This window comes from Homo sapiens, chromosome 2 (genome assembly GCF_000001405.40).
Source record: "Homo sapiens chromosome 2, GRCh38.p14 Primary Assembly".
Lineage (NCBI taxonomy): Eukaryota > Metazoa > Chordata > Mammalia > Primates > Hominidae > Homo > Homo sapiens.
Window position 1 is genome coordinate 183260179 of NC_000002.12, and position 24677 is coordinate 183284855.

The 24677-nt window shown below is 39.3% G+C and overlaps 1 pseudogene, besides 1 other annotated feature; it reads left to right on the forward strand.

Moving 5' to 3' along the window:
- On the forward strand, window positions 391–1285 carry LIN28AP1 (LIN28A pseudogene 1; annotated as a pseudogene).
- Window positions 22543–23140: an enhancer, noted in NCBI's record as "OCT4-NANOG hESC enhancer chr2:184147449-184148046 (GRCh37/hg19 assembly coordinates)". NCBI's record gives its function as "activates a minimal SCP1, AML or CMV promoter by ChIP-STARR-seq in primed H9 embryonic stem cells {active_cell/tissue: H9 hESC(primed)}" and the evidence as "EXISTENCE:reporter gene assay evidence [ECO:0000049][PMID:30033119]".

Below are 24677 nucleotides of genomic sequence, written 5' to 3' on the forward strand. Positions count from 1 at the left end.
GGGAACAAGCAAAATTCACAGATTTTGTGTAACATGAGATATGATTAATACTATACCTAACCATTTGTGACAAGAAAATTTATTTTTTGACTTTTGTGTATACTTTATGGGAATTGTGTATAAAAGTAAGAAAATGTCTATTTAATCAAAAATTATTTGGGAAAATTAATGAGTGATAGGTGTATAAGGAAGGGTCTCCTAAATAGGACATTCTTACCTTTTAAATCTGAGATTAGCTAGATCAACCGTGCCTCCTCTTAACCCTTGGAGCTTCTAGTTGCAGCAAAATACTAAGTTTGGTAAATTCAGCATTGTTCTATGAACTCTGTAATAAAAAATTTGTTCCTGACAGTATATACTTAACAATCAGGATTCTAGTAAATTCAGATGTTGGTCTTCGGAGTTCTCCGGGGCCAGCAGCTGCCTGACCAGGGGCCCGGGGCCACGGGCTCAGCCGACGACCATAGGCTCCGTGTCCACCCAGCAGTTTGCAAGTGGCTGCGCCAAGGCGGCAGAAGAGGCACCCGAGGAGGCGCCGGAGGATGCGGCCCGGGCGGCGGACGAGGCTCAGCTGCTGCACGGTGAGGGCATCTGTAAGTGGTTCAACTTGCGCATGGGATTCGGCTTACTGTCCGTGACTGCCCGCGCCGTGGTCGCGCTCGACCCACCAGTGGACGTCTTTGTGCACCAGAGTAAGCTGCCCATGGAAGGCTTCCGGAGCTTGAAGGAGGGTGAGGCAGTGGAGTTCACCTTTAAGAAGTCAGCCAAGGGTCTGGAATCCATCCGTGTCACCGGACCTGGTGGGGCGTTCCGTATTGGGAGTGAGAGGTAGCCAAAGGGGAAGAACATGCAAGAAGCGCAGATCAAAAGACAGGTGCTACAACTGTGGAGGTCTAGACCATCATGCCAAGGAATGCAAGATGCCACCCCAGGCCAAGAAGTGCCACTTCTGCCAGAGCATCAGTCATATGGTAGCTTCATGTCCACTGAAGGCCCAGCAGGGCCCTAGTGCACAGGGAAAGCCAACCTACTTTCGGGAGGAAGAAGAAATCCACAGCCCTGCCCTGCTCCCGGAGGCACAGAATTGAGCCACAATGGGTGGAGGCTATTCTTTTGCTATCAGGAAGTTTTGAGGAGCAGGCAGAGTGGAGAAAGTGGGAATAGGGTACATTGGGGCTAGTTGGCACTGCCATGTTTCTCAGGCTGGGGTTCACACCATCACCCTTTCTTCTCTCTGTTGGGGGAAAGGGTGAGTCAAAGGAACTCCAACCGTGCTCTGTCCAAATACAAGTGAGGGTTCTGGGGGCAACCAGGAGGTGGGAATCACCCTACAATCTGCATGCTTTATCTGAGGCTCCATCCCCAGAATTTCCAGCTTTTGAAAGTGGCCTGGATAGGGAAGTTGTTTTCCTTTAAAGAAGGATATGTAATAATTCCCATGCCAGAGTGAAATGATTAAGTATAAGACCAGATTCATGGAGCCAAGCCACTGCATCCTGTGGAAGGAAATCTATCAGGAGTAAGGCAGTGTTTTTTTCACATCTTGTATCCATATACCCACTTTTGGGATAGGGTGCTGGCAACTGTCCCAAGCAATGGGTACTGATGATGGCAAAAAGGATGTTTGGGGGAACAGCTGCAGACCTGCTGCTCCTATGCTTACCCCTGCCCCATTCTAGGCCAATGTGATTTTATTTATTTGCTCCCTTTGATACTGCACCTTGAGTCCCACTTTCTCCAGGATGCCAACTGAACTAGCTGTGTGCAAATGATGTATCTTGTGCAGTTTAACTTTTTTTTCCTTAATATAAATATTCTGGTTTTGTATTTTTGTATATTTTAGTCTGAGGCCATCATTTCCTGCACTGTATTCTCAGGTGCATGAGCAATCTCAGGGATAAGTCGGCAGCAGCTTGAGTTCTGCACAGCAGGAATACTTATTATTATACTTTAAGTTCTAGGGTACATATGCACAACATGCAGGTTTGTTACATATGTATACATGTGCCATGTTGGTGTGCTGCACCTGTTAACTTGTCATTTACATTAGGTATATCTCCTAATGCTATCCCTTGCCCCTCTCCTGACCCAACTATACTACAAGGCTACAGTAACCAAAACAGCATGGTTCTGGTACCAAAACAGAGATATAGACCAATGGAACAGAACAGAGCCCTCAGAAATAATACCACACATCTACAACCATCTGATCTTGGACAAACCTGACAAAAACAAGAAATGGGGAAAGGATTCCCTATTTAATAAATGGTGCTGGGAAAACTGGCTAGCCATATGTAGAAAGCTGAAACTGGATCCCTTCCTTATACCTTATACAAAAATTAATTCAGGATTAAAGACTTAAATATTAGACCTACAACCATAAAAACCCTAGAAGAAAACCTAGGCAATACCATTCAGGACATAGGCATGGGCAAGGACTTCATGTCTAAAACACCAAAAGCAATGGCAGCAAAAGCCAAAATTGACAAATGGGATCTAATTAAACTAAAGAGCTTCTGCACAGCAAAAGAAACTACCATCAGAGTGAACAGGCAACCTACAGAATGGGAGAAAATTTTTGCAGTCTACCCATCTGACAAATGGCTAATATCCAGAATCTACAAAGAACTTAAACACATTTACAAGAAAAAATCAAACAACCTCATCAACAAGTGGGCGAAGGATATGAACAGACACGTCTCAAAAGAAGACATTTATGAAGCCAACAGACACATGAAAAAATGCTCATCATCACTGGCCATCAGAGAAATGCAAATCAAAACCACAATGAGATACCATCTCACACCAGTTAGAATGGCCATTAAAAAGTCAGGAAACAACAGGTGCTGGAGAGGATGTGGAGAAATAGGAACACTTTTACACTGTTGGTGGGACTGTAGACTAGTTCAACCATTGTGGAAGATAGTGTGGCAATTCCTCAAGGATCTAGAACTAGAAATACCATTTGACCCAGCCATCCCATTACTGGGTATATATCCAAAGGATTATAAATCATGCTACTATAAAGACACATGTACACGTATGTTTATTGTGGCAGTATTTACAATAGCAAAGACTTGGAATCAACCCAAATGCCCATCAATGATAGACTGGATTAAGAAAATGTGGCATATATACTCCATGGTATACTATGCAGCCATAAAAAATGATGAGTTCATGTCCTTTGTAGGGACATGGATGAAGCTGGAAACCATCATTCTCAGCAAACTATCACAAGGACAGAAAACCAAACACCACATATTCTCACTCATAGGTGGGAATTGAACAATGAGAACACCTGGACACGGGAAGGGGAACATCACACACCAGAGACTAAAACTATACTTTTTGTTGTTTTTGCCACTGTGGAGATTTATTATTTGGAGTGCACAGCCTATTGAACTACCTCATTTCTACCAATGAGAGCTGGCTTTTCTGCCATAGTGTCCTCTTGAAACCCCCTCTGCCTTGAAAATGTTTTATGGGAGACTAGGTTTTAACTGGGTTGCCCCATGACTTGATTGCCTCCTACTGGAAGATTGGGAATTAGTCTAAACAGTAAATGGTGGTACAGAGAGGCTAGGAGAGACTGGGCCAGGTGAAAGGCCCAGAGAGGAAGCCACGATTAGGTGAGGGGTGACTAATCCTAGGGCACAGGACATGCTTTACACCCCAGTTCCATTCTTCACCAGATTAGGCTAGGCCTTCCATGCACGACAGGGTATGTGTGCTCATAAAACTGGAGTTGGTAAGGATAAGTTTTAAGACCAGTACCCTTATACTTAATCCTGTGCTGTCGAGGGATGGATATATGAAGTAAGGTATCCTTAACCTTTCAAAATTCATGGGTTCCAGGTAGACACATAAGCAAGGGCTTTGTGGTGCCTGGGACCTGCGTCCCGCCCTGCTGCAGTAGTGATTAATATTGTCACGGTAGCTAAAGGAGAAAAAGGGGATTTCGTTTATATGCTGTGAGATCACCGCAAACCTACCTCACTGTGTTGAAACAGGACAAATGCAATAGAACGCATTGGGTGGTGTGTGTCTGATCCTGGGTTCTTGTCTCCCCTAAATGCTGCCCCCCCCCCCCCAGTTATTGTATTTGTCTGGGCTTTATAGGATTTCACTAAATTGGTGATTGCTAGGTGGCCTAGTTTGTATAAATATAATGTATTAGTCTTTCTCCGTGTTCTTTGGGGGTTTTGTTTACAAACTTCTTTTTGTATTGAAAGAAAAATAGCTAAAGCATCTTTGACAGAAGGTTCTATACCAGGCAAAAAGATCTGAAACATTAGTTTGGGGGGCCCTCTTCTTAAAGTGGGGATCTTGAACTGTCCTTTGTTTTGTATTCCCCTTCCCCTATTACCTATTAGACCAGATCTTCTGTCCTAAAAACTTGTCTTCTATCCTGCCCTCTTTTCTGTTCATCCCCCAAAAGAAAACTTACACACCCACACACATACACATTTAATGCTTGGAAAGTCTCCACAACTCTTAAACGATGTATGCAAAAATCCTGAAGAAGCTAAGAAAACCCTCCATCCCTTGTTCCCAACTTCCTGAGTCAAGACCATTACCCATCCTTTCCCTTCCCTTTCCCCTTCCCCTTCCCTTCCCTTCATCTTGCTCTGTTGCCCAGGCTGGAGTGCAGTGGCATGCTCTTGGCTCACTGCAGCCTCCGCCTCTTGGGTTCAGGTGGTTCTCCTGCCTCAGCCTCCTGAGTGGCTGGGATTACACGCGCCCGCCACACCCAGCTAATTTTTGTATTTTTAGTGGAGATGGGGTTTCGTCCTGTTGTCCAGGCTGGTCTTAAGCTCCTGACCTCAAGTGATCTGCCCGCCTCAGCCTCCCAGGGTGCTGGGATTGCAGGTGTGAGCCACCGTGCCGGGCTGACCATTTCTTGATGTATTCATGCCAAACACTTAAGACACTGCTGTAGCCCGGGCATGGTGGCTCACACCTGTGGTCCCAGCACTTTCACAGGCTGAGGTGGGCGGATCATGTGTTCGGGAGTTCGGGACCATCCTGGCCAGCATGGTGAAACCCCATCTCTGCTAAAATACAGAAGATTAGCCAGGTGTGGTGGCGCATGCCTGTGGTCTCAGCTGCTCGGGAGGGAGGCTGGGGCAGGGGAATCGCTTGGGCCAGGCGGTGGAGGGTAGGCGCATGGAGGTTGCAGTGGGCTGAGTTCGCGCCACCGCACTCCAGCTTGGCAACAGAGCGGGACTCCGTCTCAAAAAAAAAAAAAAAAAAAGACACTGCTGTATTTTGGATGGCTCAAACCTACTTAATTTTTACTCCTAAAGTAGAGAGATGCAACTGGGGGCCTTCCATGTAGAAATTGAGGTCAGCAGGCCAAGAAAGAGAATATGAATGTATATACAAGTCACTCAGGAACTTTTATACAGAAACTTATGTCAAAGTGGCCACAAGATTGTTTAATAGGAGACAAATGAATATAACTCTATATTTACTGCTAGAAACCAAAGCTTTGTGTAAAATCTTGAATTTATGGGGAGGGAGGGTAGGAAAGCCTGTAGCTGTCTGTTCTTTTCCTGATCCCTTTCCCTCATTCCTGAACTGCAGGAGACTGAGCCCCTTTGGGCTTTGGTGACCCCATCACTGGGGTGTGTTTATTTGATGGTTGATTTTGCTGTACTGGGTATTTCCTTTCCCATTTTCTAGTCATTTTTTTAACACATGCTGACGCTTCCATTTCCTTCTCCTTTCCCTGGGAAAATACAATGAATAAATAAAGGCTTATTGGTACTCATACTGTAAAAAAAAATTCAGATGTTAAAAAACTTCTAATATATTATAAAACAGTCAAAATTTCCCCCAAGGAGTTAGCAAGGTCAAACATATGAACATATATACAAATATTTTAGTTAATGGAACTGGAGGCCATTATCCTAACTGAAATATCTCAGAAACAGAAAGTCAAATACTTCATGTTTCCACTTATAAGTGGGAGCTAAACAATGGGTACATGTGGTCCTACAGAGTGAAATAATAGACACTGGCGATTACAGAAGGTGGGAGGGTAAGAGGAGGGTCAGGCTCAAAAAAATTACCTGTTGGGTACAACGTTCGCTATTCAGAAGATGGGTATGCTAAAAGCCCAGACTTCACCACGACACAATGAATGTGAAACCTGCACTTGTACTCTCTAAAAAAAAGAAAAAATTCCCAAAACACCAAACACTAGATACATTTAAAACAGACACATGAAAATTATTAAAGTGTTCAGCTAACAATACAGTAAAAACTGTATTCATTTTAAAAAAACTTCCAACTTTTGTTTTTGATTTAGGGAATACATGTACAAGATTGTTATAAGGGTATATTGCATGGCGCTGAGACTTGGGGAACCACTGAACCCGTTATCCAGATAGTGAGCATAGTATCCAGTAGGTAGTTTCTCATCCCTTACCCCACTTCCCTCCTTGCTCTAGTAGTCTCCAGTATCTATTGTTTCCATCTTTATGTCCATGTGTACCCAATACTTAGCTCCCTCTTGTAAGTGAGAACATGCGGTATTTGGTTTTCTGTTTCTGCATTAATTTGCTTAGGATAATGGCCTCCAGCTGCATCCACTACCACAAAGGACATGATTGATTTCATTCTTTTTTATTATTGTGTAGTATTCCATAGTATGTACATACCATGTTTTCTTTTCTTTTCTTTCTTTTTTTTTTAAACCCAGGGAAAACCTGTATTTTTATATTTAGGTTCGATGAATGAACAGCCATGCAGAAATGTGATTGGACACAAAGGATCTGGCCTAACAGTGATGGATGGAGTGGGGGAAACCCAGCAAGGCCACTCTGTACAATTCCCCTTCCCCTGGGTATGGGGCGGGACCCCTCGGGAATGAGGGTCTTCCAGGGAGAAGGGAGAGAGTGACCTTGCTAGGTTTTATGGCTGGCTTTGGGAGAGAGGAGTTCTGGTTTCTATGACCTGCCTTGGGGAAAAAGAATTCTGGTTTCTGTGACTCACTTTCGGGGAGAAAAGGGGGCAGGAACCAGGAGGGAAGGACAAAGACCTGGCTTCTGAGGCCTTCCAGTCTCCTCTGGGTCAGAATAGTCCGCATGCCAAGGTGCCATACTTTGGGGTTTAATGAGCCCCGACAGCAGGTCCTTGCAGATTTCACAGGCAACTTGTGATCCAAGTAATTGGCTTTCAGTTCCCCAATTTCAGAGGACTTTAGCAAAACCTGGTTGAAATGGCCAAGTGTTAGAAGAACCTCTTCAAAGTTGAAATTCATTGAGTTCTTTAGCTGAGGGCGTAAGAATCCCAGATGTAAGGTTAGCAAGAGTTAGGAGTTCTGGAGTCTTCCCTGCATGCCCTGGCTCTTGAGCATCAGTAGGCCAGAAGCTCACATATCTGATCCTGCTGTGGTTCAACAGGGATGTGTTTTAGAGCAGCATGTTCAGAATGAAACTGGTGTACTTAGTCAAGCCTTGAGGGTCTTCTGAAGTCATGCATGGCCCACGCTGCCCTCATGGGAACACAGGTGCTCCAGCACCTGATGTGTTCAGGACTAGGTTGGGGGAACCTTTAATCCTGAAAACATCCCCCTGCTGTCTAGACCAGCCTGCCCCATGGCACTATTCCATAGTGTGCATGTGCCACATTTTCTTTGTCCAGTCTACCATTGATAGGCACTAGGCTGATTCCTTGTCTTTGTTATTGTGAATAATGCTGCGATGAACATATAAGTGCATGTATCTTTTTGGTAGAACGATTTATTTTCCTTTGGGTAGATACCTAGTGTGTTAGTCCATTCTCATGCTGCTATGAAGAAATACCCAAGACTGGGTAATTTATAAAGAAAAGAGTTAATCGACTCACAGTTCCGTATGGCTGGGGAGGCCTCAGGAAACTTACAATCATGGCAGAAGGCACCTCTTCACAGGGTGGCAGGAGAGAGAATGAGTGCAAGCAGGGGAAATGCCAGACACTTATAAAACCATCACATCTCGTGAGACTCACTCACTATCACAAGAACAGTACAGGGGAAACCGTCCCCATGATCTAATTACCTGCACCTGGTCTGGCTCTTGACATGTGGGGATTATAGGGATTACAATTCAAGGTGAGATTTAGGTAGGGACACAGAGCTAAACCATATACCCTGTAATGGGATTGCTTCATCAAATGGTAGTTCTATTTTTAGCTATTTGAGAAACCTCCAAACTGCTTTCCACAGTGGCTGGACTAATTTACATTCCTACCAACAGCATATAACTATTCTCATTTCTTTGCAACCTCACCAACATTTGTTATTTTTTGACTTTTTAATAGCAGCCATTTTGACTGGTGTGAAATGGTATCTCATTGTGGTTTTGATTTGCGTCTCTCTGATTAGTGAGGTTGAACACTTTTGCATATGTTTGTTGGCTTCTCATATGTCTTCTTTTGAGAAGTATCTGTTCATGTTCTTTGCCCTCTTTTTAATAGGGTTGTTTTTTGCTTGTTGATTTAAGTTCCTTAGAGATTCTAGATATGAGACCTTTGTTGGATGCATAGTTTGAGAATATTTTCTCCTATTCTGTAGGCTCTCTTTACTCTGTTGATAGTTTCTTTTGCTGTGTAGCAGCTCTTTAATTAGGTCCCATCTTTCAATTTTTGTTTTCTTGCAATTACTTTTGAGGACTTAGTCATAAATTTTTACCAATGCCAGTGTCCAGAAGGGTATTTTCTACAATTTCTTTTAGGATTTTTATAATTTGAAGTTTTACATTTAAGTCTTTAATCCATCTTGAGTTAATTTTTATATATGATTATAGGTAGAGGTCTAGCTTCAATCTCTATATATGGTTAGCCAGTTATCCTAGCACCATTTTGAATAGGGAGTCCTTTCCCTGCTGCTTATTTTGTTGACTTCGTCAAAGATTAGTTGGTTGTAGGTGTGCAGCTTTATTCCTGGGTTTTCCCTGCTGTTCCATTGTTCTACGTGTCTGTTTTTATACTAGTATCATGCCGTTTTGGTTACTGTAGCTTTGTAGTATAGTTTGAAGTTGGGTAATGTGATTACTCTGGATTTGTTCTTTTTTTTTTTTTTTTTTTTTTTGGATACAGAGTCTCACTCTATTACCCAGGCTGGAGTACAGTGGTGCCATCTTGGCTCAGTGCAACATTTGCCTCCCTGGTTGAATCAATTCTTGTGCCTCAGCCTCCCAGTAGTTGGGACTACAGGTGTGCACCACCATGCCCAGCTAAGTTTTTGTATTTTTTAGTAGAGACAGGGTTTTCCCATGTTGGCCATGCTTGTCTAGAACTCCTGGCCTCAAGTGATCCAACCACTTTGGCCTCACACAGTGTTGGGATTACAGGAGAGAGCCATCACGCCTGGCCTGGCTTTGTTGTTTTTTTATTTGCTTCAGATTCAAGCCTCTTTTTGGTTCAATATTAATTTTAGAATGGTTTTTCTAATTCTGTGGGAAATAATGTTGGTAGCTTGATAGGAGTAATGTTTAATCTCTAGATTGCTTTGGGTAGTATGGACATTATAATGATATTAATTCTTCCAATCCATCAGCATGGAATGTTTTCCCATTTATGTCATCTATGATTTCTTTCAGCACCGTTTTTTAGTTCTCCTCATAAAGATATGTCACCTTCTTGGTTAGATGTATTCCTAGATATTTTTTTTTATGGCTATTGTAAATGGGGTTGTATTCTTGATTTGGCCCTCAGCTTGAATATTATTGGTGTACAGAAATGCTAGCGATTTGCATATTGATCTTATGTCCTGAAACTTTACTGAAGCCATTTTATCAGTTCTAGGAGACTTTTGGCAGAGTCTTTAGGGTTTTCTAGGTACAGGATCATATCCTCCGTGAATAGAGATGATTTGACTTCCTCTCCTAGTTCTATGCCTTTTATTTCTTTCTCTTGACAGATTGCTCTTGCTAGGACTTCCTGTACTATGTTGAATAGGAATGGTGAGAGTAGGCATCCTTGTCTTGTTCCAGTTCTGGGAATGCTTCCAGCTTTTGCCTGTTCAAAAAAAAAAAAAACAAAAAAACAACGGAACTAATCACATAAGCTATGTTTAAGGGCATGACTCTAAGAAGCGTTTAAATCATTAAAAACTTCGTTACAAAACAAAAAAATTATAGCAATAAATGAATTGATTACTCAGTTACATAGGATCTTGCTACAAAAAAAGTGTTCTTATATAACACTATGGCATGCCAGGCAATGTTCTCAAGTTTTTTCCAAGCAGTATCATATATAGTTTTTCAAATATAAATATATAGTTTTGACTAATAAACATTTTGTATATTTATTTTGTATAATATGTTGTTTTAAAATATTTATACGTTGTGGAATGGCTAAATTGAGGTAATTAACATATACATTACCTCACGTACTTTTCTTTGTGGTGAGAACACTTTAAATCTACCCTTTTAGCAATTTTCAAGAGTACAATACATTGTTATTAAATATAGTCACCATGTTGTAAAATAGATCTCTTGAACTAACTTCTCTTGTTTAATTGAAACTTTCTATCCTTTGATCAACATGTTCCCACTCCCTAGCCTCTGGTAACCATCTTTCTACTCTATGCTTCTGTGAGTTTTACTTTTTAGATTCCACATATAATTGACATCATATGGTACTTGTCTTTCTGTGCTTGGCTCATTTCACTTAACTTAATGTCCTCTGGTTCATCCATGTTATTACAAATGACAGGATTTCCTTCTTTTTTCTTTTTTTTGAGATGGAGTCTTTCTCTGTCTCCAGGGAGGAGTGCAGTGGCGTGATCTCGGCTCACTGCAACCTCTGCCTCCAGGGTTCAAGCGATTTTCCTTCCTCAGCCTCCCGAGTAGCTGGCACTACAGGTGCATGCCACCACGCCTGGCTAATTTTTGTATTTTTCGTAGAGATGGGGTTTCACCATATTGGCCAGGATGGTCTCCATCTCTTGACCTCATTATCCGCCTGCCTTAGCCTCCCAAAGTGCTGGGATTACAGGCAGGATTTCCTTCTTTTTTAAGGCTGAATAGTATTCCATTGTGTATGCATATATATGACATTTTCTTTATCCATTCATTCATTGATGGACGCTTAGGTTTGATTCCTGATATGGTTAGGCTTTGTGTCTCCACCCAAGTCTCTTGAATTATAATCCCTATAATCCCCATGTGTCAAGAGAGAAACCAGCTGGAGGTAATTGAATCATAGGGGTGGTTTCCCCCATGCTATTCTTGTGATAGAGGGTTCTCATGAGATCTGTTGGTTTCATAAAGGGCTCTTCTCCCCTTTGCTCAGCACTCATCCTTCCTGCTGCCTTGTGAAGAAGGTGCCTTGCTTCCTCTTTGCCTTCTGCCATGATTGTAAGTTTCCTGAGGTCTCTCCAAGTATGCTGAACTGTGAGTCAATTAAACTCCTTTCCCTCATAAATTACTCAGTCTCAGGTAGCTCTTTATAGCAATATGAAAGCAGACTAATGTAATTCCAATGTCTTGGCTATTATGAATAATGCTGCAGTGAACATGGGAGTACAAATATGTCTTTGACATACCAGGTACTATTATTATTCCCACTTTGTAGATGAGGAATCTGAGGAACAAAGAGATTATGCAATTGCTCAAGGACACTCAGGTAGGAAGTGGGATAACTAGAAATTACATCCAGGCAACCTAACTTCAGATTCTCTTTGTTTTTTAAAAAGTTAAATATTTCAATATTTGTTAAAGATGATGTAAAGCTAACAGACATTAAATAAATATCTATATCTATGTCTATATTTCATACCAGTCCTGAATCTGTGCTTTTCATAATTTTCTTTGTCTTGATTCCTGACAGGAAAGTACACTTTAATTTGTCCTTGTTAAAACTTGCTTTTGATTTGAGTATTGAGACAAAACCATGAGCAGAAGTGGACCAGGAGCAGCAAATCCATTTTGTAAAGATATTTTAATACATAATATATCCTATTCTGTTCATGTCAACTGTGACACATTTCAAAGATTAGTTGGTAGAAATTGGTATTTAAAAATACTTATCAAAAGCCTACCATTTTATTTTTATATGTCTATACTCATATGCACGTGGAATAGCCAGTGAAATAAAACCTTCATTGGCAGTTAATGAAGGTTTTATTTCATGTGCATGGTATTTAAGCAGGATCATAATACAAACATACTAACTTGAATGATGTATGAGTTAGTACTCTCTTGGTTGCATGTTGCAAAAACCCCAATCGGTATAAAGTAAATAGATACTTCTTGTCGGGAGGAGATTCTAAGATACAGTCAGAGGAATGAGTGATCAGAGAAGGACTATTATACAACAAATTTTTGAGAAAATATGTTTTAAAATGTTAGAACTTTTCATCACTTTTCTCTGTACCACTCAGTTTACCTGCATCAGTATTTTTCTCTCAGCAAACTGGATTCCTTTCACTGTTCTCTCTGGTAGGGCTACTGATGGCTTCCAAACTTAACATATTAAAGCTTCAGGTACTATAAAGAGTCAAGGTGAATCTCTTGGAAAGTAACTCATTGACCCAGTTGGGTCAGCTGCCAACTCCTGGGTCAATTAATGCTGGCATAGTAGTTCTTATAGAAACCACAAGATAGAATGTGAGTCCCTGTTGAAGGTAAAGGACAGTTTCTAGAAGAAAGTTTTGGAATGATATTTTCAGAAGAATGGGATGGTGACAGAAAATAAAAAAATAGCTTTCTATTTTAGAAATGAAAGATAAATACCAATATAAGGAAAATATTAATAAAAATGACTGACATTAAATATAATTTTATCTGCTTTATTAATGTGTAATTACAAAAAGTAAAAGTAAGCATTTTAAGTGTAGTTTGATGAATTTTTATGAACTTATATACTTAAGTTTCAATCACTACAGTCATGATGTAGACTATTTCAGCATCCCCAAAAGTTCTCTAGTGCCTCTTTGCAGTCAATCTCTTTTATTTACTTCCTAGTTCCTGACAACCACTGATCTGCTTTCTATTACTAAAGCTTTGTTTTTTTCTAGGATTTCATAGAAATGAAGTCATACAGTATGTAGTCTTTTTTGACTGGCTTTATTCACTTAGTATAATCCTTTGAGTTTCATCCACATTGTTGTACTGCATTAGCCGTTCTTTCTTTCTTTCTTTCTTTCTTTCTTTCTTTCTTTCTTTCTTTCTTTCTTTCTTTCTTTCTTTTTTTTTTTTGAGACAGAGTCTTACTCTGTTGCCTAAGCTGGAGTGCAGTGGCACAATCTTGGCTCACTATAGCCTCTGCCTCCTGGGCTCAAGCCATCCTCCTACGTCAGCATCCCAAGAAGCTGGGACTACAGGTATCACACCCCACTAATTTTTGTATTTTTTGTAGAGACAGGGTTTCACCATATTGCACAGGCTGGTCTTGAACTCCCAGACTCAAGCTATTGACTCACCTTGGTCTCCCAAAATGTTGAGATTACAGGCGTGAGCCACCATGCCCAGCCCCTTTCCTTTTTATTGTTGAAAATATTCTATTATATGGATATAATACATTATTTGTTCATTCATCAATTGATGGATTTCCAGTTGTTTCCTGCTAGAGTGTAATTGATATTTGTGTATTGATCTTGTAATACACATCTTATTAGTTATGAGTTTTTTTTGTAGATTTCTTCCTACATAGATAATCATGCCATCTGCAAATAAAGCTGGTGTAGTTCTTCCTTTTCAATCTGTATGTCTTTTATTTCTTTTAGTTCTCTTATTGCCTAGGCTAGTTCCTTTAGTACAGTGCTGAATATAAATGGTGACAGTGGACATTCTTATTTCCAGTCTCAAGAGGAAAGTATACAGCTTTCTACTATTAAGAATAATGTCAATCAGTTTTTTTTTAAATACACTCTATCAGGTTGACAAAATTCCCTTCTTTTCCTAATTTGCTGAGAGTTTTTTTTTATCAGTGGATATTGAATTTTGTTAAATGCATTTTCTGCATCTATCAAGATGATTTTATGGTTTTTCTTCTTTACTCACTAATTATGATGAATTACATTTATTGATTAAAAAAGTTAAACCATATCTGGGATAAACATCACTTGGTCATAGCATATTATTCTATTTATATATTGTTGTATCCATTTTGTTAATATTTTATTAAGGATTTTGTGTCTATTTTCATGAGAGATATTGGTCTATAGTTTTTTTTTGTTCAATGTGCTAAGATTCTGATTGTTATTGCACTGGATCTGTAGTCAATTTGGAGAGAACTGACATCTTGGTCTAGTTTTGCTAACAAGCTATTGGTTTCTTCTCAAAATGAATTAGGAAGTATTCTCTTTTTTATTTTTAAATGAGTTAGTGTGGAATTAGTATTACTTATCCCTTAATTGTTTTGTAGAAAGGAGTTCTATTTGAGGAAAGGGTTTTAACTACAAATTCAATTACTTTAACTGATATAAGGCTATTCAGGTTATACATCTCTTCTCTAGTGGCTCTGGTAGTTTGTATCTTTCAGTGATTTTGTTGTTATTGAAGCTAAGTTGTTGAATTCATTAGTGTAAGTTGTTTATAATATTACTTTATTATTTTAACGTTTGTAGAATCTCCAGTAATATTCCCTTTTTCATTTCTGATATTGAAAATTTGTGTCTTTTCTTTTTTCTTGATTAGTCTAACTAGAGGTTTATCCATTTTATTATAATTAAATAATCAACTTTTAATTATAACTTTAATACAATTAAAAAGGTTTAGACTTTTGTAATTAAAATTGCAATAGAAATATAGACATCTGTGGATTAAAAAGTTTATAGAATGATGGTTCTGAACTAGAGCAATACATTTGTAATTTATTATTTTTTCTCCTGTTTTTATAGATCAAAGGTAACACTGCTTTCTTCAAAGTTATTTTTTTTTTACCATTTGCTAACATATTTATAAAATATAGAAATAAGCTTCTATATTGTCATTCTATATACCTGACAAGGTTAACTTTTTACAATTTTCACACTTTTACCGTAGCAATCATAGTGAAACATTTCCTCTTCTTGTACAAAATGTGACATTCTCCATCTTCAAATTTCAAACCAAGATTGATGGACTCCCATGAAAAATCTGTGCTCCAAATAATTCAACATACTCTTCAAACCTCTGACAAAATCTTTGACCCATTTTATTTTTTCAAAGTCAGTTTCATAGTGATGTGTTAATATGTGCATCTGTGTGGGTGTGTGTGTGTGTCCATCCATGTTCATTAACAGGCATACATGCATATGTGTAAAACTGAAGAAACAAGGTTTTTCCCCATGAGATAGCCTCATCCTGGAGAATATAAGGGATTCTTATAAGAGCTTTTACAAGTAGTAATATCAAGGTAGTATTTTAATCTCTTGGTTAAGAACAGACAGATATTTAGAGACTATCACTTTCAGCGAGGCCCTTGGCAGGCCAAGGGGACATATGCTGAAGAGGGGTAGAGGAGAGCGAAAGGGATAAATACAATTCTGTATAATAATGCAAATCAATAACCCCATGGTGAGAAGGAGCTTTCAAATGAAGAAAACTCCTTTTGCTCCTTGTTATAGGATTAGGCCATACTGTCTTTAAAAATTAATATTTTCCTTTGAAAGATGTGTTTCTATGTGGGGTGTGTGTGTGTGTGTGTGTGTGTGTGTGTGTGTGTATGCATGCATGTGTATTTGAAACATTCACTGGGAGGGAACTGCATATAAAACTAAACCCGGAGAGCCCATACTGATCCTGGATTGTTCTGGGGGATTTGGGTTGTCAAAGATCACCACAAAGTATCCTGTTAGAGGCTCAGGGCTTTTTTTTTTTTAAACTGAACTCACTGGCAAAAATGAACTTCTTGAGGGAAAAGCATGGATGATAGAATGGTATCACCTCTGGTGAGTGTTAGTTAGAAGTTTCTTGAACACTAGAGAGAGTTGAAGGAAGGATAAATTCTTGACAGTAGCACAGACTGTACAACAAGGCATCAAGATGGAGAACTAGGGACATCATGAATATACAACATTTGCTTACTTTTTCCTGGTACTACGGGAGAAGTCATGTTTAGCATTCACTATACATGGTTTCAATATTACCTTGAATTGTCTTTAATTAACCAACTTCAGGAAATTTGAGATCATTCATTCATTTGTATGTAGTGAATTTGTGTGTAGAGAACAAATAGAGGTGCTCAAATGGAATTTTGGTCTGTCCCCAATTCAGCCAGGGGTAGGGTCCCTGTAGATAGGGTAGCAGCTGTCAAGGATGTGTGTTCAGGAAATCCAGGCAGCAGGAGAGTGAGCAGTGGTTCATGGCATAGTTGTAGTCACAGAAGGGCACGTGACTGAGGGACGAAATTCAGCGTGGGCAACTCACGAGGACTCTAAGAACCTCATCTTCTCTAGTCCTTCTCTTTTCATGGGTAGACCTGTTCATTTCCCCACCCGCCCACCCACACACCTCTCACATACATTTATACTGAACTGTGTACTTGACTGTATATCCCTTCTGTTGGATTATAAAATACTTAAAGACAGAGCCTGTATCTTTTATTTAATATGCACTATTTAATCTGAAATTTAATATTTAATATTAATATTTTATACAGTTCTATATATTCTGATGTATCTTAATAAATACTTGTTTAGTGAGTAATTTTTTAAAATTATATTTAAGGAATTGTTTAGGTCATTTCTCTTCAGGGTTCCTTCCTCTCTCTCCCTCCCTTCTTTCATTCTTCCTTTCCTTCTTTCCTCCCTCCCTCCCTTACCACCCCCTTTCTTTTCTTTCTAACTTTTTTGTTTATAAGAGTTTAATGTTGGTTCAGGTCATAATTTATACAATTTACTTTGTATTTCTTTTCTGATTTCTATGTCCTAGTAAAGGATAGCATTTTAAAAGTCTTTTTCCAGAGGTTGTAGTTATGTTATTTTCAAGTCCATCCCTTGATTCAAGTAAGTAGGATTGCCTTTAAATAGGCTATTATTTGATATCTGCCAAAGGCATTGAAGAGTCTTAAAATTATGGCCCAGTAAACTCTCTTGCTTGATATTATACCAATGTTAATCCACAGAAAGTCAAAGGTTTTTCACTTGCAAATTTGATTTTAAATGAATTTTTATTGAACCCACCCCACCCGCAATTTCTTGGCTTATGAATCCTCTTATGAACCTGCCTGTCTTAGCAAAAAAATAAGAACAGTGCTCTAGAACTGCAGCAGTTTATTCTATATTTTTTCAATTATATTTTTGCCCTGTGTGTTAGGGATCATGAACTATAGTATTCATTACTTGTATGATTTGATACTTTTATGAAATAAAATCTTTTAAAGATAAAATTTGCAGAATATTTTAAAATGTCAGTATAATAATATTCTTACTATATTCTCTTGTAACAATGTATATGGTTGGTGTGGGCACAGAAAGAAGAGTGGGAAAAATTCTTATGTCAGTGCTGGGTCAGTAACAGTGGAGGATAATAGGAAGGCAATGGGACAGTATCAGGTTCAGACCTTTGCAAGTTAACTGAAATCTTGATCACTGTTAAAGGGAATTTCCATCTTGGAGACTAGTGTCCAGAACATGCATGTTGGGGAGATAATACTTGGGTCATGGCCATGTGTGTGTGAGTGTGTGTGTGTGTGTGTGTGTGTGTGTGTGTGTGGTTTCAATATACAGGTGCAGAAAAAATCCTGAGAGAGATGGAAATGGTTGTTCTACAGGCTGTAAACGATGGGAAGTCCAGTGACCTTACTTGGAGAGGAATGAGAGAGGGGGAGGAATGGAAAGGGAATTTCTCTACTAGAATATGTGTCTCACTCTGATAATTACATATTCAAAAATGTCCATTATTGGAATATCTGTCCATCATATGCATGCATTCACATCAATATTATCCATTCATCCATCCACCCATCTATCCCTCCATCCATCCATTCATTCACTTATCCATTTTCTGTTCATTCACTGATCCAAATGCTGGGAAATTGCATGATACCTTTTTACTGTTAATCTCCAGAATGATCTGTCATTCCAGGCTGATTACATTCTGCTTTTCCCTTCTTAAGGTTTTGTGTTTTTTCATTTTAACATTGAAAAATATGTATCTTTAAGCTTATAAAATAAATACATGTTTAAAACCAAGGAAATGCAAAATAGTTTAAAGAATATTGAGAAGAAACTAGGGGAAAGAATTACTACAAATCCACTACACAAATAAAAACACTGCTAACATTTTCATTTAGTGTTTCTCTTTTTAAATGAGTTAGAAAGTTGCAATCAAATCAAAACCACAATGAGATATCATCCCACCCTTGTTAGAATGGCTGTTATAAAAAATAGCAAATGCTTATGAGGATGTAGAGAAAAAAAAGAACTACCATAAGATCCAGCAATCCCACTTCTGAGTATATATACAAAGGAAAGGAAATCAGTATTTCAAAGGGATACCTGTACCCTGTGTTTATTGTAGCACTATTTACAATAAGCAAGATATGGAATCAACTTAAATGTCCATCAACAGATAAATGGATAAAGAAAATGTGGTATATACACACAATGGAATGCTATTCAGCCATAAGAAAGAATCAGATCTGATCCTTTGCAGCAATGTGGATGAGTCTAAGGGACATTATGTTAAGTGAAGTAAGTCAGGCACAGAAAGACAGAAGCCACATGTTTTCACTCACATGTAGGAGCTAAAACATTCCTGATCTCATAGAGGTAGAGAATAGAATGATAGACACCAGAGCCTGGGAAGGGTATGTGGGTGGGGTGCAGAAGTATGAAAAAGAGGGGTTGGTAGGGGTAAAAAGCTGCATTTCTATAAAAAGCAATTCATAAGCTGATAAACTTTCTGTGCGTTCTTGAGATCCCATGTGACAACATATAGCTGATTTAAGCAGAAAAAAAAAAAAGTTTACTACTGGGCTGCTCTTTTAGCAACCCCACAGCTCCCATCAGGCACAGGTACTGCAAAGTGTACCAGTGAACTTCTGTCAGTACTTCTGACAGCTCGATGTGTCTGCTCTCACCTTAGCAGATAGAACATGTCCTGTGAGATGTCTACCTTTTCACATTGCATTTGAATAGCATATTCGCAAGGGTGATTCTGATATCATAGCCAAATCATCCTTGTACCCTGACTGCAGGAGAAACTGGGAAAATAAGTTCCTGGCATAGACTCAAAATGTGTCAAATTCTTCAGATAGAAGCACTTTAAAAAGTACTAGTGAGCCCAAAGCATGAAAAATGTCCACCAAAATTTTCCCTTGACTGTCCTATGTCTATTGTCCCTCTTTCTCTCTCTCTTTTTTTAAGACTTGTAACCAATATCAACAATAGCAAAAACTAAGTGTTCTAATCTGAGTTAGTGCAACAAACTCCCAAACAAATCTGATACACCCTTTCTCCAAAAGGAAGACAGTATAAAATTCATTGGTTTTCACGTCCAGTTCCATGTCCAGCATCTTTAGCTTGTGACCATTTCTCCCCTACCTTCATCGTGATCCTGTGTTGATTTTCTATTTTTATTTTTATTTTTCGAGGGGGAGTCTTGCTCTATAACCCAGGCTGGAGCATAGTGGCATGACCTTGGCTCACTGCAACCTCTACCTTACAGGATGAAGCAATTCTCCTGTCTCAGCCTCTCGAGTAGCTGGGATTTCAGGTGCATGCCATCACCCCTGATGATTTTTGTATTTTTAGTTGGGACAGGGTTTTACCATGTTGGCCAGGCTAGTCTTGAATCCTGACCTCAATGATCTATGTGCCTCGGCCTCCCAGAGTGCTGGGATTACAGGCATGAGCCAGGGCACCTGGCCCTGTGTTGATTTTCTATAACATATGGACTAAATTGTAAAGTAAAAACCAACAATATGCTTCACATAAAAGAGCAGAAAAAAGTGAATAGAAGAAAATTAAAAAAATTATAGCTATAAACATTAAAATAAATAGAAATTTTGGATGTATACTGTAGTCCTCATTTCTGCAGAAAGATTATGTGGCAATGGTTATTTTGGTCTCCCTCTTCCTATCGCATCTGATTTTTAAATTAATGGTCAATAGCACCAATACCTCTTTTTTTCCAATATTATTAAAGTATGGAACTAAGCCTTTTTCACATTCAGAATGTAACTAATCTGAATCAGTTTTGAGACTTTGTATCCTGGTGATGTATGCAGACTTCTCCTGCATTTGAATATTCTATGACATAAATATTTCAGAAGATTTAGAAATGTCTACTCCCTTTAATTGCAGTCCTAGTGTGTGACTATCTTCTACACTTAAAAAATAACTTTTATTTTTATTGCAGCATCATGTGCATTCTTTGAAGATAGTGTTGTAACCGTTAAGAATTCAAATTTAAGTTAAAATTAAACCTGTTCTGGTGTTATGAACTTAAAAAAACCTCAACTGAGGATGATAATCAGAAAGCAGATTATATGGATGTCTTAGAACACTTGGGACTATTTTAATTTATTCATCTGGGTGATAATAGGTACATTTTCTTGAAATTAGATTATGAAACGCATGGCAGTTTTAGGCATTTTTAAATGTAGAAAGCATGCATCTTATTATGCAGTAGTCCCCTCTTATCCACGGTTTTGCTTCCCACAGTTTCAGTTACGGTATACTACAATAAGATATTTTGGGAGAAAGAGAAAGAGAGATCACATTCACATAACCTTTATTATACTATATTGTTATAATTGTTTTATTTGAATATTAGTGTTGTTAATCTCTTACAGTGTCTGATTTATAAATTAAACTTCAAGTATGTGTATATATACACAAAAAAATTATATATAGGGTTTGGTGCTACCTGCAGGCATTTGCTGGGGGTCTTGGAACATAACCCTTGTGGGTAAGGAGGGACTACTACGGTAATACAAACCAGATAACTAAGGAGTCATAGCTCTGAAATTAATGAATGTTAGTATGCCTCTTCCATCTGTACCTTTACCGAAGCTTCCTTTTAGAATAAAAGGGCCTAAAGCAAACATGAGACTTAATTTTCGAAATAAAAACTTATTCCTGCCCTGAAAATAGACCCATAAGAAAGATAAAAAGAGAGCTTGTGAAGGGTAAACCTCAATCATTCCGTGTTTATGAAGGGAACTTTCAGCAGTTGAACCAAAAACAGTTCATGAAGTGCAGCATAGTGTAGTGGGAAAAGATCAGGGGCTATGAAATGAGAGAGACACACACCTCTATCCTCGCCCCACTATTTAATAGCTGTATGGCCTCGGATAAAGCATTTGACTGCTCTAAGACACCCCCATCTTTTTTATTCTTTTCTTTTTCTTTTTTAGAGATAGGGCCTTGCTCTGTTGCCCACACTAGAGACTAGAGTGCAATGGCGTGATCATAGCTCACTGTAAACTTGAACTCCTGGGCTCAAGGGATCCTCTCTCCTCAGTCTACTGAGGAGCTGGGACTACAGGTGCCATGCCCAGCTAATTTTTATTATTTTAATTTTTTTGTAGAGATGGGGTCTTGCTATGTTGCCCAGGCTTGTCTTGAACTCCTGGCCTCAAGCCATCCTCTCACCTCTACTTCCCAAGGTGTTGGGATTACAGTGTGTGCCACTGAGCCCAGTCTGGTTTCTTTATTTATAAGATGAAATCATTATACCTTGTTTATTGGTGAGTCACAGGCATAGGAGGTAATTATATGTGCTGGGTGCCAAGAATAGTGCCAGGAACCTGACATATACTTGGATAAAATAGCAGTTGAATTAATTTACCTCCTGGCTCCTCATTTCCTCATCTGTCGGTCTTAAAATCTCTGTCTTCCAGAGCTGTTGTGAGGACAAGAGAGAACTACTGCAGGGTGTGTATCAAGTGTTTAGCCTTTAGTAAATAGCAGTTATTATTATGTTGTTATTTTCCAGATAGCCTCTGGATAAGGAAAAAAATGCCACTTCTTTTTGGTCTAAACTTGAAAAGTTAATCATTTATTGCTTTGATGTTATAAAATTGACATCATCAAAGTTAGCCAGAATATAGGATAGTCAACTGAGAAGGGGCAAGGCAAAATGGAGGTGCTGACCTTTACAGAGGGTTAACATACCAAGCTGGAGACAGTTAGGGAAGAATCATGCTGTGGAGGTGTGAGAGTTCAGTCAGGCTTGTGAGAAAAGTTTTTTTTTTTAATTTTTTTAATTTAATTTATTTTATATATACATTTTTAATTATACTTTAAGTTTTAGGGTACATGTGCACAACGTGCAGGTTTTTACATATGTATACATGTGCCATGTTGGTGTGCTGCACCCATTAACTTGTCATTTACATTAGGTATATCTCCTAATGCTATCTCTCCCCACTCCCCCCATTCCACAACAGGCCCTGGTGTGTGATGTTCCCCTTCCTGTGTCCAAGTGTTCTCATTGTTCAATTCCCACCTATGAGTGAGAACGTGGTGTTTGGTTTTTTGTCCTTGCGATAGTTTGCTGAGAATGATGGTTTCCAGCTTCATCCATGTCCCTGCAAAGGACATGAACTCATCATTTTTTATGGCTGCTTAGTATTCCATGGTGTATATGTGCCACATTTTCTTAATTCAGTCTATCATTGTTGGACATTTGGGTTGGTTCCAAGTCAAAGATAACTATAAGAAATAGGAATAAACCTTCTTGGAAGGCCAGGGGGTTTCATAAGCTCCAGTAATAGATCTGGCTGAAGGCAGCCTAATCTTTACCTTGAATAAATAACTTAGAGTAGGAACAAAGGAATGTAAGGGAGTTTATCTAAATAGCTTGTTTACTCATGTGGTCCTAAAACTAATCTTTGATCATTTGTGGGCAAGATGGCTCTCTCAAGGGGAAGGTGACCAGGTTAATTACCCTCTAGTGTTGTTGACTGAAAGCCTTTGTGATTTAATGTATGCTGAATAAATGCTGGTAGGGCCAGCTAGTCAGGGCTGTTGCTGCTACAACTCTTTTGGTCAGCAGCCTGGTCCCCTGGCCTGCTCTTTCGCTGAGTATTGGTGTCTGAGTATGTTATTCATCCGTTGTGCAGCTGGGGTCTGCGGGACAGACCCTGGCATGGAGGCACAGTGGACCATGGTATTTGGTGAATTGCTTACTGAGTGGTAAGATAAAACCAATAACTCATAGAGTAGGCTCTGATGATGAGATGAGTAACCACCTTAGTCTGAGAGAATAACTTAAGGTTCAAGACATAATTGGGTCAAATTTCTACAGAAATTCTAGCCTGCCCCATGGCCTTTTATTTTTCGCAATAGTGACAAAGGGTGACAGGATAACTTTCCCAGCTGACTCAGATGCCTTGTGTGTTAGAAGCTGTTATTTCTAATGAGGAAATTATTCATAGGTTTTTCTGGAAGTGTGGGGTGTATAAGCATATTCACAATCTCTGGCCTCCACGGAGGCATTTATTATCAAAAAGAGAACAAATTCCAATCAAGCAACAACAGGTGATCTTTCCAAATGCAATGCCCTCTGTCATTATATCCCCACTTCCAGCCTGAGCGCTTCTCCTTGGGGAGAGACTCAGGTGATGTATTTTTGCTGCAGAAGGGGTCACTCATTTTATAAGTCAGGTTCTTTTAGTTCAATTCAATTTGAATTAACTAGGCCAAGAGGTGAATTTATGCACTCATAAAACTGGGAAGGGCAGGAGTGTAACTAGATGCCCAGACCAGAAGCTATGCCACACCAACTTTCTTTCTTTCTTTCTTTCTTTCTTTCTTTCTTTCTTTCTTTCTTTCTTTCTTTCTTTCTTTCTTTCTTTCTTTCTTTCTTTCTCTTTCTTTCTCTTTCTTTCTTTCTTTCAATGGAGTTTTTGCTCTTGTCGCCCAGGCTGGAGTGTAATGGCACCATCTCTGCTCACTGCAACCTCTGCCCCCTGGGTTCAAGCAATTCTCCTGTCTCAGCCTCCTGAGTAGCTGGGATTACAGGCACTCGCCACTACGCCTGGCTAATTTTTGTAATTTTAGTAGAGACAGCGTTTCACCATGTTGGCCAGGCTGGGCTTGAACTCCTGACCTCAGGTGATCCACCCACCTTGGCCTCCTAAAGTGCTGGGATTACAGGCGTGAGCCACTGTACCCAGCCCCAAATTTCTCTTTCAACATTTGTCTTTGTTTCTCTATACTTGTTGATTTCATTCTTTTCCACTGCAAAGAGGTGAAAGCCAGGTAAAGCACATCCTTTTATTTCCAATTTGAAAAGTCCTTCGGCTGGATTCTGGTTTCTTTCACAAACTTAGCCATTAATCATGAAGACGAGGTTAGTTCCTGCTATGGTATGAAAGTTTGTGCCTCCTGCAAAATTCCTATCTTGAAGCCTAATCAGTAACATGATGGTCTTAGAAATGGGGCTTTCTGGAGGTCATTAGGTCATAAAGGCTCTGCACCTCCTGAATGGGACTAATGGCCTTATAAAAGAGGCCCCAGAGAGCTTTCTTGCCCATCTGCCAGGTGAGGACAAAGAAACAAGTCACCATCTATGAAACAGAGCCATCACCAGACAATCTGCTGGTGCCTTGATCTTGGACTTCTCAGCCTCCAGAACTGTGAGCAAAAAACTTGTTTACAAACTACCCAGTCTAAGTAGTTCCCATTTAGATTGCATGTTGTGGAAGATGATATTACTCAAAAGAAGGGAATGGGGCACTGGTAGACATTCCTCAGAAATGGCCCCTGAGGGATTATGTGGGCTGAGTAATCTGCCTCCACAGTCAAT